The sequence below is a fragment of the Homo sapiens genome, chromosome 1 (assembly GCF_000001405.40).
Source record: "Homo sapiens chromosome 1, GRCh38.p14 Primary Assembly".
Taxonomy (NCBI): Eukaryota; Metazoa; Chordata; class Mammalia; order Primates; family Hominidae; genus Homo; species Homo sapiens.
Window position 1 is genome coordinate 5,489,234 of NC_000001.11, and position 13,940 is coordinate 5,503,173.

Below are 13,940 nucleotides of genomic sequence, written 5' to 3' on the forward strand. Positions count from 1 at the left end.
GGAGCAACATGAATTAGGACAGATACAACAGGGCTCCTTGGTTGTTTTTGTTTCTTAGGATGCCAGGGCATTCTTTCTGCTTTTGAAGCAAGTTCTAGTTCAAGTGGAGAGAGTAGCTCTCAGAGCTGTCAAGAGCCTACTTTGTTGCAGACGTAGCACGCTGACCTTGCACCCAGTTTGAGTCTTGCTGAGCTCCCACGTATCCTAGAATTCTGCATTTATGGGGCCTCACGAATGCTGCATGCCTGTAGAGTGGCAAGAAACAGTGGACACGTGTCACAGCATCTGCTCTGTCCACGGTCATCCTCCAGGGTCTCTTAGGATGCAGCCCACAAAACACAAATTCAAAAATAAAAAAAATTATTAAGAATGCGGCCAAAAATTATACAAAAAAAAAATCTCAACATCACAATCATTAGAGAAATGCAAATCAAAGCCACAGTGAGATACTATCTCACACCGGTTAGAATGACTATAATTAAAAAGTCAAAAAATAACAGATGCTGGCAAGGATGTGGAGAAAAAAGAACACTTACACACTGTTGGTGGGAGTGTAAATTAGTTCAACCATTGTGGAAGACTGCATGGCAATTCCTCAAAGACCTAAAAACAGAGCTACCATTCAAACCAGCAACCCCGTCACTAGACCTATTCCCAAAGGAATATAAATCATTCTGTTATAAAGACACATACACGCCTATGTTCACTGCACCATGAATCACAATAGCAAAGACATGGAATCAACCTAAATGCCCATCAATGGTAGACTGGATTTTTTAAATGTGGTACCTATACACCGTGGAATATTATGCAGCCATAAAGAAGAAGGACATCATGACCTTTGCAGGAACATGCATGGAGCTGGAGGCCATCATCCTTAGCAAACTAACGGCAGGAACAGAAAACCAAATACCACGTGTTCTCACTGAAAGTGGGAGCTAAATGATGAGAGCACATGGAGACGTGAAGGGGAACAACACACGCTGGGGCCTTTGAGAGGGTGGAGGGTGGGAGGAGGGACAGGATCAAGAAAAGTAACTAATCAGTACTCGGCTTAATACCTGGGTAATGAAATAATCTATACAACAAACCCCCATGACACAAGTTTACCCATATAACAAACCTGCACATGTACCCCTGAACTTAAAATAAAACTTAAAAATTTAAAAAAAAAAAGTGAATTTCAAGATGGCCATAGCGAAGCATTAAACCGTGCCAGAGGCCCTTCTAGGGGCCTTGTGCAATTGCACGGCTTGTACGTCCATCACGTTAGCCAGTGTAACACCGGTGGTTTGATCACAGGTCCTGGAGGGGTCCAAGCCTTTTCTCAGCAGGAAGGACTTGCCTGAGCTTCTAGGTGGCTTGTTCCCCGTTGCCAAATCTGGCTTGGGCCACAAAGTGAAGGCAGGATCCACTTGAAAGCAAGGGAATGAGGTGCTGAGAACAAGTCCCTCAGTTGACTCAGCTCACACACACACACTCACAGACACAAACACACTCACACACACATACACAGCACATCAGGCTGACCCGAGGCCCGCGGCCCCTTTGCTGTCTGTATACAAGGTAGCAAACGAAGCGACAAGTCAGCGCAACAGGAAAAGCGACTGCTGCCAGAAGCTTGCATTTCCATTTCTGAAACACCCAGCCCTGACCCCGGAGGCAGACAAGCATGCTTCAGCAGGACCAAATGTTTCCAGTACGCAGCCGGGCTGAAGGCAGCAAATTGAGTGGAACTGTCTGTTGTATCTTGCTTTCAGCTTCTCGAGCTGTTTTTAAAATCCCTTTTGGGCGCAGGAATCGTTTCACTCTATGATCTGCAGAAGAAAGCTCTTTTGTCAGGACCTCGCTAGCCCCTGCACCCCCAAACACACAGGCATGAGTATACCCACACATGCCCTCACTCACACCTTGCATTAAATGCTGGTGTATGCAGAGCGAGGTGACAGAATCCCGGCTGCTTTGTCCTCAAAATGCCAGAACCTCTGCCTCACAGTGGATGACATCGGGTTGAATATCTTCACAGCCATAGCAGGCTGAATGTCCTCTTTGAAAGCTGCCTTAGAGCCAGGCACATTATTCTGAAGAGCCTCAAATGTGAATCGTCTTCATCCTCTGAGGTTGGGCACAGCTGTTGGAAGCAGCCGCAGGTGTGTGTGTCCCCCAGGGCAATCGGCAGAGCCTCCTATGGTGACATGAGGTGACCTCGGGTCTCAGTCTGCCTGGCTTTAACCCCGAGCTCCACGTGTGTGTTACCTGTGTGATCTTGGGTGCCACGCCTCTGTGCTTGGTAACCTCTGCTTGTAGAGTTTGGATTCTTAGAAGGGTGCTAACTTCAGAGACTCCTTCTGAGGATTAAATAAGATAAAGTTTGTGAAGTACAGAACTAAGAAGTTTCTGGCATATGTGGTGCACAAGTAGTAAATATTCGCTATTTCCATCCCCACTGCTAAAGAAAGTGATACTCTCTTGTGTGACTCACAGAAGGGCCCAGAAAGCACCAGCTCTGGGGGCTGTAGGACTCCCCACAAAGTCTAGTTGCCCAGTCTCCTGTCTTTTCACCTCCAAGATCCCTCTAGAGCAGCACTGTCCAACAGAACATTCTAGAATGATGAGAACATACTGTCCATTTCAGTAGCCACCAGCCACATGTGGGTACCAAGCACCTGAAATGTGGCTACTATGTGACCAAGGAAGTGACTTTTACATTTCAGCTCATTTTAGTTCACTTAAATTTACAAAGCCACATGTAGCTAGTGTCCACCATAGTGGACAGAACGGCTCCAGACAATCATTTCCAGAGTTTCTCAGATTGAGAGAATAAAAGGCTCTTTACTCATGCCAAGAGTGAGAATCATGGATTGCTATTTCCCCCTCCTGAAGCGCTTGAATGCCGGTGAATGAAATAAAGGCTCTGAGAAGTCCTGCAGCATGAACAGACCCTGTTTATCCTCATGTTTTCTAAACTTATTTGACCACAGAACCTCCTTGATGTGCAGATATATAAAATGTCCACGGACACCCTACAGAATAGAAGGAAGGGGCTGTGTCCACTAGAGCAACGCACATCATTTTGGCTTTGAAAAAGCTCAAGAAGAGCCGGGCGCAGGGGCTCACGCCTGTAATCCCAGCACTTTGGGAGGCTGAGGCGGGCCGATCACAAGGTCAGCAGATCGAGACCATCCTGGCTAACACCGTGAAACCCCGTCTCTACTAACAACACAAAAAAATTAACCGGGCGTGGTGGCGGGCACCTGTAGTCCCAGCTACTCAGGAAGCTGAGGCAGCAGAATTGCTTGAACCTGGGTCAGAGGTTGCAGTGAACCAAGATCACACCACTGCACTCCAGCCTGGGCAACAGAGAGAGACTCCATCTCAAAAAAAAAAAAAAGAGAAAGAAAGAAATAGAAAAGAGAATTATTTTAGATCTACTTTTTGTCAGTGCTAATGACTCAGAAACCAGGAGTCAGTAGTAAGTCCCTTATGTATGCATTCAACAAACAGGTGAAGTGCGTACTTACCACATGCCAGAGTTTGTGCCTTACCCACAGCTAAACAATCACTGTCTCCTTCTGTACCAGGCAAGAGGGCAGTGTCCTCTGACGGTCCCCAGACAGAGCAGCCTGGGATTGGCTGTGTTTGTGATGCACACTCCTGGCTTCCCATCTGAAGGACCCAGGTCTTTAAAGCTCCCATTGTGTTGTCACTCAGGGGCAGGAGAGGAACTGGCAGCTGGGAGAAAGCAAGGGCTGGTGGACCTTCCCCACATTCCAGTTCAGGCCAGAATGGGCCTCGCTCCCCACAGCCAGTGCTGCTCTGTTTGAGCAGAGAAGCCAGCTCCAGCCCGCTGAAAACAGACTGGACCCAAAGGAAGAGGAGACAAACCCTACTGTCGGCCTGCCCCAGGCCTTTTCCCAGATGGGTGAGCACCTGCCCTGAAGGCACAGGAGGAAGTGAGCGTGGGGCTCAGGGACCAGGCCTGCCCTCCCAGTTAGTGCCAAGGACACAGAAACAGAGGGGAGTGCCCATCAACCTCTGCCCAACACAGAGCCCCTTAATGACTTTTAGATTAAAAAGCCAAGACACGGCCATATCCTTAAGATGCCTAATGAAGCAATTGGCCCATCAGCCAGTCCAGGCACCCGCATGAAGCCCCAAATGTAGAAACTCAGCCAGTCTTGCCAGACCTGCTTAATGCAAAATTGGTAATGTCATTTACAAGCCTCTCACACGCAGGCCTATGAATAAAAGAATAATGCTGAAAAGCAAGGCTCTCCAATTTCTATACATTGCAAACAGCTCTGAGCAGTTCCTTCTTGTGCACTTGGCACAGACCTTCCACCCTGCCAGGGCTCGCCTTGAAGATAGAGTGCCCCAATCCTGGAGGCACAGTGGCTGGAATTGCTGCAAAGTACCAGGAGGCAGGAAGATTTACCTCCCTGGCCCTGGAGCTCCTTCCAGCCACACAACTCCAGGGAGGCTCAGAGGCCAGCCCTCGGACCCCAAGGCCAGAAGACATGTAAACAGTGACATAAATGCACCCCAACCGCCTCTGTCAAGCATCTTGTAATGCTTCTCCACTCCTGCTGCAAAGGCTGCTGGAATTTTCTGCCTCTACTGCCCCCATTAAATCAGCTGCCCGCGGAAAACATGTCCATCCTGTGGAGGCCAGGCTCAGAGCCACCCCTGCACCCCCGGCACACTCTGCAGAGAACCCTTGCTCCAGGGCTGGCCCCGAGCACAGACTCTCCCCCAAGGCATTTCTGCAGCACATTAAAGAAAGAACAAAGGAGAGAAAGGAGGGAAAAGCCAGTCTCTCCGGATTCCAAATGAGAAGATGATGAAGTGTTCAGAAGGGAGAGAGCCTTTTCAAAGGACTTTTCATCCAGCGCCAGCACGGTGTGAGAGAATCAAAACAGAGGAGTTCTGTGTCAATAGGACGGATCCCTCCAAGGCTGCCAGTATGTTGGAGTCCTGGAAGAGAGAGATGAGCCAGGGCAGTGCGCTCCACAAACCCTGAAAGACCAGGTTGAAAGTTCTCCCACAATGAAGGCTGCTTTTGGAGCACAGGTGGCAGCCTGCACAGGCTCGGGGGCAGGAGCAATTGCTGTGCCAGGGGTCTCTGGATCACAGCCTCTCTTGGGCTGTACTGTGTTGGGGGAAGATCCTCAAATTCCCTTATGATTAAGGGTGCTGTACTGGATGAATTCCCGGGTCTTTTTTAGTTCCAGCTCTCTGGGGTGGTAACCTTTCTTATTTGAAATGCAAAAATATGTACTAACAAATATTTATCAAGCCTCTAGCACAGCCATCCACACAAAGGAGGTTATTCATAAATATTGGACAGTTTATTAATTGATTGTTATTACTGCCGCCTTACAGCTGCTCTAAGGAGCCGTCTGCCACATTTTGTCCTAATAAAGCAATTGGAACTAAATAAAGCTCAGCCTGCCCAGTACACTCTGTTCTTGTCCTATAAAGAAGGGGCTCTCCAAAGGAGATGTGGCTTCCGCAGGTGACTTCTTAGGAGAACATTTATCCAACAAAGTAATTAAATAATCCCGTGTGGCCTCCCAACCCAGAGCTGCTCCAGCTGCCTTAAGTCTGGTCGTGTTTCCTGAAACTTGACAAGTCTTCTAAGTTCTTTAAACTTTTCGTTCAAGGCCCACATTGGAGGGGAGCCGGGGGTGGAAAGTCAATATAAAAGCAAAGATCAAACTCTTTCAAAAGAGTGTTAGCAACTTTTAATGATATTCATCTGTCACAGGGTGCCAGAGGGCAAAAGCTGCATCTGTATCTTAACTGTAATAACTACATATTGAGCAGCCTGAGACTTGATTTATTAACGATGAGATTTTACAGGCAAGACACTATTGACAAATGGCAGCAATTTTCGGCACCCCAGATCAATACCCTTTAATCGAGTCAAATCTCAGCAAATTAAATTAAAGCCAGATTCCAAAATAGCCCCAAACTAAACAAATGAATTTGTGTAAAATTCCCCCACATGGTTGGATGACATGCCAGTGGCTGTCTTGAGTTGGTGGCAGTATTTTTATTTATCTATTTGGAAGCAAGATGCCTGCCAAGGGCACTGTTGTTCATCTGTCATGCTTGCAGTCCTCCCGAGCCCCGTGGTTGGACACCAGCGAGGGAAGGGGAGGTGGGCACAGACACGTCCAGGCCCCAGTCCAGGGCCGCTTTGGGAATAAATTATTTCCCTACCTGTTCGACATCTCCTGGCGCGTTCCTTCCAACGACGAGATGATCGGATCTTACGGCTCATGGCAAAGATCAAACCCAGAGCCCAACTCTGCCCCAGGTGATTCAGGGGATCTTAGATAAATCAGACCTACCTGTTTTCACATGCAAAATAAGAATGATGACCATCATTGTCACCTCCAAAGTTTCCATGACATTAAACAAAATAACAAATTTCAAAGACAAGGTCCGGATCTGGCACAGAAGGAGCACTCAGAGGTTAGCTAAAGCAGGCACTCAGCTGAGGCATGAGGAATGGGGCCGCCTCCCCCTTGCAACGCCAGCACACGCGGCCACCCTATCCCCAGAGCAAACGCGTTCTCCCTGGGCAGTGGGGAAACAGGGTTCCCACAAGGCCGGAGGATGGCCAGGTACCTGGGATCACAGTATGTCCCCTAGCTCTACAGGAAGGCTCAGAAGCATTTCTCTCATTGGGAAGCTTTTACTTTAGAAACTCTTTGACCCCTTGGATTCTCCTTTGTCTCTGGGGAACCCTTGTTTCACAGATTTCAAGAATGAATCATGGCCCCATCTGTAGAAGCTTAAGGAAACGCTCAGGGAGCCGGCTGTTCTGGGCCAACAGTGAAGGACAGGATACATCTTCCAGGCTGCTATATCCACTCTACAAGGAGCAGGTCAGAGACTCAGGAGACAGCCCAGGGCTCGGACAGGGAGCCTGGCTTGATTTAGGTCAGTCTTAAAACATCACTGGAATTGAATGACAACGTCCAGCTGCAGCCTCTGTTGCTGGTTAGAAGGTTATTCACCCAGGGCGGATGGGCAGCGCCACTCGGGGTGAGGCACTGGGGCACCCGTGCTCCTCTGTGTCCCCCCAGCTGGAGGTTAGCAATGACCTGGAGATCAGCTAATGCATCACAGTGATGCTGTTTGTGGGGCTCTCTGTGCCAGACCAAGTGTGTTTTGTAAGTATCTGCTCATCCTGTGCTTGTCACTGACTCCTAACCCAGCAAAAGTTGGGGGAAGAGCAAACATTTCTTGAAGCACCCCCTGAGCTCTGGCAGAGCAGATGGGAGAGGGATCTACCTTCAGCCCAGGTCTTTGTTTTTCATGCACTGTGTTTATCCACAGGCACCTGAAGCTGGAGTCCCTCTCCTTCACCCGGGCCCTACCCCAGCTAGATGAAGGGCTTCTCACTCCACTCCCGGGCACCTGCAAGTCTCCTGTGTCACTTTATTCTAACTGTATTTGAATCCTATGGTTGCCATAACAAAGGACCACAAACTCAGTGACTTAAAACAACAGACATTTATTCTCTCAGTTCTGGAGGATGGAAGTCTGGCATCAAGGGGTGGTCAGCACTGTGCTCCCACTAAGGGCCCTAGAAGGTCCTTCTTCCCCTCTTCCAGCCTCTGGGGGCTCCAGTTGTTCTTGGCTAGTGGCTGCATCACTCAAATCTCTGCCTCTGTCTTCACACAGCATCCCCTCTCTGTCCATATCTGGTCTCTCTGCCTTTTTCTCATAAAGACACTTGGCATGGGATTGGGACCCACCAGGATTACTCAGGATGATCTCATCTCATGATCCTTAATAACAACTTCAAAAACCCTCTTTCAGGATAAGGTCACATTCACAGATTCTGGAGACTGGGATGTGGACATGTCTCTTTGAGAGGCCATTATTATAGAGTCTGCCTTCTCCCCATCACAGATGTCCAATTGATATCTGCAGACTAAATGAATAAGTGAATGAACAGGCAGCTTCTTCCACTGATGCAGGTCAGCCCCTCATCCTTCAAGGGCCACAACCCTTCAATATTCCTGGGGGTCCTTGCCCACACTGGCTTCAAGACTCTCCTCTTGCTATTAGAATTATAACGACCCCTGCCAACACCTGGCCTCATCTCAGACACTTGGAGATGCATGGAAATGCTAAGATTCTCAGACGCCTCAGAATACTGTTTAGGGTCAGTCCTCCAGTAACTATGAAATAAGATCCAACCTCCGGGACTCAGCACAGCAGCCCTTGCTCCTGCCTCCAAAGACCCGGTGAGGCCAGGAGGGTATCTGCCTCACCCCAGCCTCCTTGGACATCCTCAAACATCCCCTGCCTGGCAAACAGTCAGAAGGCAGGAAGCTGGACACCTTCAGCCTCAGCATGGATTCAGGGGCAGAGACGAAGGCCACGTCCTGAACAGCCTCTGCCTAGCGGTGCAGGCACCGTCTACCCGCAGCTCCAGGGTCAGGCTGCAGATACTCGAGGAGCAAGCCCAGGTCCAACTCTGCCTCCTCAAACCAAGCAGCAAACTGGCACCAGGACCCCTTCCTGTTAAGCCCCTGAGCCCCTGGCCCCAAGCCAGCTGGCTGTAGTGCTGAGCTGGGGCACCAGACTCCAGCCAAACCTCAGTGCCCTTCCTCCATCACTGGAGAGAATGCTGCTTAGCAAGCATGGGCAGTATGTGTTTGTGCAAGTGTGCACATGCCTGTACATATGTGCATGTGTGTGCATATGTGTGCATCTGTGCAGGTGTGTGCTTACCCATGCATGAGTGTGCAGATGTATGTTTGTGTGCAGGCATGTGTGAAGTATGCAGTTGTGTGCAGGCATCTGCAGGTGTGTGTTGTGCATATGGGTTTGTCTTTGCATATTTAAGTGGGTGTATTTGTTCCTAATGGAGCCTGTATACAAGTGGACCTGTCTTGAGGATGCTGAGGGAACCTCCTTTAAGAAAAGGATTGTCGGCTCAGAGGCAAGCATCAAGGAACCTCTCCCCTGGCTTTCAGGGTGTCCCCCACATTCCCTCCCCATGCTAGGGTCTCCCAGTGTCTAAGGCGTTCGGGGAGGGGACTAGGAAGGAACTTGCAGTGTCTGAGCATCTGTCAGGTGCCAGACAAGGTGGCACCTTCCTCCAGGGCTGTGCTCCTTTCTCCTCTGAACACATGAGAACATAAGGCTCGGCCAAGCAAAGGCATTTGTCCAAGCCACCCAGCTGGTCCCCAGGAAGCCAAACCAGGATCTTCACTCAGGGCTGGGACCTCAGACCCACGTGTGCTCCAGGGCAGATGTTCCCACCCTGTGGGACGAGAGCCACCTGGTCCAGGGGGTGAGAGGGGGAGGGCGTAGAATGTAAAGCTTTTGTGGAGCAACTGACACCCAGGACTCCCTGAATCCTGGTGGGGCTGGATCTGGGATCTTCATCTTTAATAAGCCTCCTGATAATTCAGGAACAGATAGTCCCCCAACAACCCACTGAATATGCTGCTGATAGGGCTTGCAAGTGGGGCAGGCAGCCAGGGCAGCAGGTTTTTTTCCAAGCCAACCTGCCAAAACTGACCCCAGAGAGGCTGTGCTCAGAGGCAAAGGGCCCAGTACCTGCTCTCTCTCACCTATTAGAGGCCTGAGATGGGGCATCAAAGTGACCCCAGAGCCCCCAAAACAAGGAAGACTCAGACTTGCTAGCAAACAGAGGGCACCAGAGGAAACCAGGAACAGGGCAGGACTTCTGTCTTCCCCAGAAGAACCACATGCAGAAGCTGCTGAAGCAGGAAGACCACATCGATAATTCGTCCTCTAGCCATGTCCAAGTGGTGACTCTCAGGGGACAGTCTGCAGAAGCCATTGGGGGGACACAGATTTCCCTAACAAGTCCTAAGGCATTAGCAGAGTGTCGGTAGCACAGATAGGATTTTGCCTTCTATTATAGAAGGCCCCAGGTTCTCTGATCAGGTAATTGTTGGGATAAAGAACATGCTTTCAATAGGGTGATATATAGATGCATAGATAAATGATGGATAGTGGATGGATGGATAGATAGACAGAGAGACAGGTAGATTAAAAAATAGATGATAGATAGATAGTAGACAGAAGATAGATATATAGATAATGGATAGATAGATAGATAGATAGATAGATAGATAGATAGATAGATGATGGATAGACAGATGATAGATGAGTAATTGATAGATTAGATAGATGATATAGATAGATAGATAGATAATAGGTCTAGATAGATGATAGATAGATAGATAGAAGATAGATAGATGACAGATAGATGATAGATATATAGTAGATAGAAGATAGATAGATAGATAGATGATAGATAGATAGATAGATAATAGGTCTAGATAGATGATAGATAGATAGATAGAAGATAGATAGATAGATGACAGATAGATGATAGATATATAGTAGATAGAAGATAGATAGATAGATGATAGAAGATAGATAGATAGATAATGATAGATGGTACATACATAGTAGATAGATAGTAGATAGGTAGATAGATAGATAGATAGATAGATAGATAGATAGATAGATAGATAGAATAGATAGATAATCTTCCCAGACATGAGTGTGCTGGGAAGCAAGGTTTGCAGATAAGTGTGTCAGATTGTCAAGGGCAGTGAAAGCCACACAGGGGACTTGTGATCTTACCTGTAGATTCATTCTTTTGTTTATTCATTTAACAAGCATTCAGGGAGTACCCACTATGCACCAGGCACTATGTTAGGCGCTAGGATGTAGCTGTGAATAAAAAGGCATTCTCCCCACCTGTCCAAGAGCAGAGCTAGCAGGTTAAACAAGCAAGTAAGACAGCAAGTGAAGGACCCAGGGCCTGTGGGAGCCACAGCAGGGCCTACGCCCCAGGCAGGTGTAACAGGGGCAGCCTTTCAGGTGCAGTGACCAAAGGCATTTGGGAGTAATCCACACAGCAACGCCTGAGGTCCACATGGTGGTAGTGTGGGGAAGAGAGCTGAGCTGCAATGGCCATTAACTTTCACCCTTAAAAATGGTGTCCCCTGGCCCGGCGTGGTGGCTCACGCCTGTAATCCCAGCACTTTGGGAGGCCAAGACGGGTGGATCATGAGGTCAGGAGATTGAGACCATCCTGGCTAACACGGTGAAACTCTGTCTCTACTAAAAAATACAAAAAATTAGCCAGGCGTGGTGGCAGGTGCCTGTAGTCCCAGCTACTCGGGAGGCTGAGGCAGGAGAATGGCGTGAACCCAGGAGGAGGAGCTTGCAGTAAGCTGAGATCGCGCCACTGCCCTCCAGCCTGGGCGACAGAGTGAGACTCCGTCTCAAAAAAAAAAAAAAAAAAAGTGGTGTCCCCTGCTGGGCTGGGCACAAGGAACATTCACACCAGCCGCCAGGTGGTAGAAAGTTCTGTTTTAGATGGAAGAGCCTTGTCCCGTCACCGTGTGTGTGTGTGTGTGCGCTCGCGTGTGTGCGTGTGTGCGTGCATGTGTGTGCGAGTGCGTGCATGTGTGTGTGCGTGCATGTGTGTGCGTGTGTGCATGCGTGTGCGTGTGCGTGCATGTGTGTGCGTGCATGTGTGCACACGTGCATGTGTGTGCGTGCATGTGTGCACACGTGCATGTGTGTGCGTGCATGTGTGTAGCTACTTACACATCTATCTGTCTATCTAGGCATCTAGGTGTCTGTGCACCTGCCTTCCTCTATATACCCATCTGTTTATCCATTATCTATTTAGCTATGCATCTATCCAAGCATCTATGCACTCGTCTATCATCTGTCTATGCATTTATCCATGCATGCAAGTATATTTATGTATGCAAGTATACGTATAATAGACATAGATATGAACATAACATATGGAAAGAGAAGCTGTGGTTAGGCTCTTGGTCACATTTGGATCCCTGTAGCTATTTCTCCAGAGCAGAAAATATTTTGCCTAATTTTATTCTGCTGAAACCGTTTTTTTTAAAAAAACAAATCTTGCAGATGCTTCCTCCAGAATAGCATGTTTTCCCCAAAAATAACTGGGCCAGGGTTATCCTAATTAACTGAGTATTCCGGAAGTTACCTTTGGAAATGATACTATGTATAATGTCAAAATTTTCCAAAAATTGGCCCTGGAGCACAGTGTAAGCCACCCGTCCATTACAGCGCCGAGGTCCCAGCACCCCTGATGTCCAGCGGTCCCAGCCGCCGCCCAGCCTCTGGCAGAAGTCAAGCCTCCATTCCAAGCCTGCTCTTGTTTCAGAGGAGTTAACTGGGATTTACAATAAGAGGCTGACTTGGCAAGCCGGGAAAATGGGTGTTTGAGGCTTCATTTCCCCCCTTTCTTAAGCAACATCTTTTCTGAAGAATTTCTCTGTGCCTTGTCCCTCCTCCCATGGCCTCAATCTATTTTTAATGACATTTCTGTCAGCCTTGTATTTCCCTTCTCCCCTGTTAATATCCAGGTTTTTCATTATTCACGGTGCCATCTGTCTTCCTCCGACCCCACCACTTCCCCCACCCTTCACGTCATTCGGCAGGTGCTGCCTTACTGTCTCTGTCTCCGAGGCTGACATCCTCATTCTCAGTCCTTTAAACAAGCCGGGACCTATTTACCCAGCCACATGAACCCTCTCCTTCCTGGAAGCCAGCCCTGCCTTCCTGAGCAGGCTGTACATGGAAGCAATTGCTCCGACACAGACAGGGACACCGTGGTGCGTCTCTCGGCCCCATCACGACGGCCTGCACCACATCCCAAATCGGAATCCAGCTCATGCATGCGGGGTTGGCCCTAGAAAGTGCCAGGAGGCATCCAACCCTGGGCCTGGCCTCATCCTGGACATTTTCTTGTTTCAGGCATGAAATATGTGGCATGGAGGTTTAGAACATGGGCCTCGGAGTCACAATAACTACGGTTCAAATCCCTGATTCTCTCAAGCAGGGTGACCTTGGACACTTGACTGTTGCTAAACCTTGCTGTCCTCACCTCTGAAATGGAAGTGACTATCCCGATTACGGAGAGTTCCAGTGGGGATGAATGGAGATACTCTGCAGATCCCTGTTGGAGACATAGGAAGCCCACAGCCAATGGGAGATCCAGAAAGATCACAGTGTGTCCCAAAAGGGAAAGAAAAGAGCAAACGTGTTGTATGCAACTAGGAGCCTAAGTAAGACTACAGAATGCGCTGAGGCGTCTCAGACCCAAATCCATCTCCTTCAATTTAGCCGTGTTTGAAATATGAAAGTCACCATTGCAAGCAAGCCCACACTCGCAGCGTTCCTGCCGCCGAGTATTTATGGAGACATCCACCAGTCAAGGGAGACTTATGAGCTACATAAATACAAAGGATAATCCGGCAAATTCCGAGTTGCACTAAAGGGCTACAAATCAGTGTTTGGGCTGGGCTCCAGATACAAAGAGAAAGTGTGATTAAGTGTGACTTTTTTAAAGTTTTGTTTGGATTTATTCCTAAAACTCCTTCACCCGAAGACGCAGATTTCTTGTTGGCACAGATGGCTGCCCTGTCGTGAATCAGAGGCAGAGAATTTGAGCAGTGCCCAAAAGAAGCCTAGAAAAAAGAAAGCACAAAAAGCAGAACGACTTCTAACTTTGGTGCAGAACTAAGATCTGTTCCCACCTGTCAGTGACACTGGGGGTGATCTGCACTCTGGGGCGGGGGCGGGAGCTCTGGGGTGCAATCCCTTGAATGCTTGCTGGGACCTCCTGCTCTGCAACCACCTCCACACTGGCCATAACTAGGCAGAGGCCTTCACAGGCATCTCTCCAGCCCAGGGCTGTGCAGGTGGCTGCAGGCAGGATGTCTGGCCTGAGCCAGCACAGTGGACATGTACAGAATAAATAAAAGGACAAATGGCAAAGTGACATCAGGAGAGACAAAGGACCAAGGGCTTTTTCAGCCAAGACAGCGCTGTGGTCAGAGCTGCAGTTCATCCCAGGGCAGAGGTTTGTACCTGAG

The 13,940-nt window shown here is 48.7% G+C and overlaps 1 long non-coding RNA gene across 4 annotated transcripts, besides 2 other annotated features; it reads right to left on the reverse strand.

Moving 5' to 3' along the window:
- Positions 1 to 1,608: 1,608 nt before the first annotated feature.
- Positions 1,609 to 5,396, reverse strand: LOC105376686 (uncharacterized). Of its 4 annotated transcripts, XR_007067027.1 has the most exons (4): positions 3,522 to 5,396; positions 3,255 to 3,374; positions 1,911 to 2,348; positions 1,609 to 1,817 (listed from the first exon to the last, which is right to left on the reverse strand). It is a non-coding gene; the product is annotated as an uncharacterized LOC105376686 (long non-coding RNA). The 4 variants fall into 4 exon arrangements; XR_946910.3 differs by lacking the exon at positions 3,255 to 3,374 and having other exon boundaries at positions 1,609 to 2,185; positions 2,257 to 2,348; XR_946909.4 differs by having other exon boundaries at positions 1,609 to 2,348.
- Positions 12,177 to 12,677: an enhancer, noted in NCBI's record as "H3K4me1 hESC enhancer chr1:5561470-5561970 (GRCh37/hg19 assembly coordinates)". NCBI's record gives its function as "activates a minimal SCP1, AML or CMV promoter by ChIP-STARR-seq in primed H9 embryonic stem cells {active_cell/tissue: H9 hESC(primed)}" and the evidence as "EXISTENCE:reporter gene assay evidence [ECO:0000049][PMID:30033119]".
- Positions 12,678 to 13,178: an enhancer, noted in NCBI's record as "H3K4me1 hESC enhancer chr1:5561971-5562471 (GRCh37/hg19 assembly coordinates)". NCBI's record gives its function as "activates a minimal SCP1, AML or CMV promoter by ChIP-STARR-seq in primed H9 embryonic stem cells {active_cell/tissue: H9 hESC(primed)}" and the evidence as "EXISTENCE:reporter gene assay evidence [ECO:0000049][PMID:30033119]".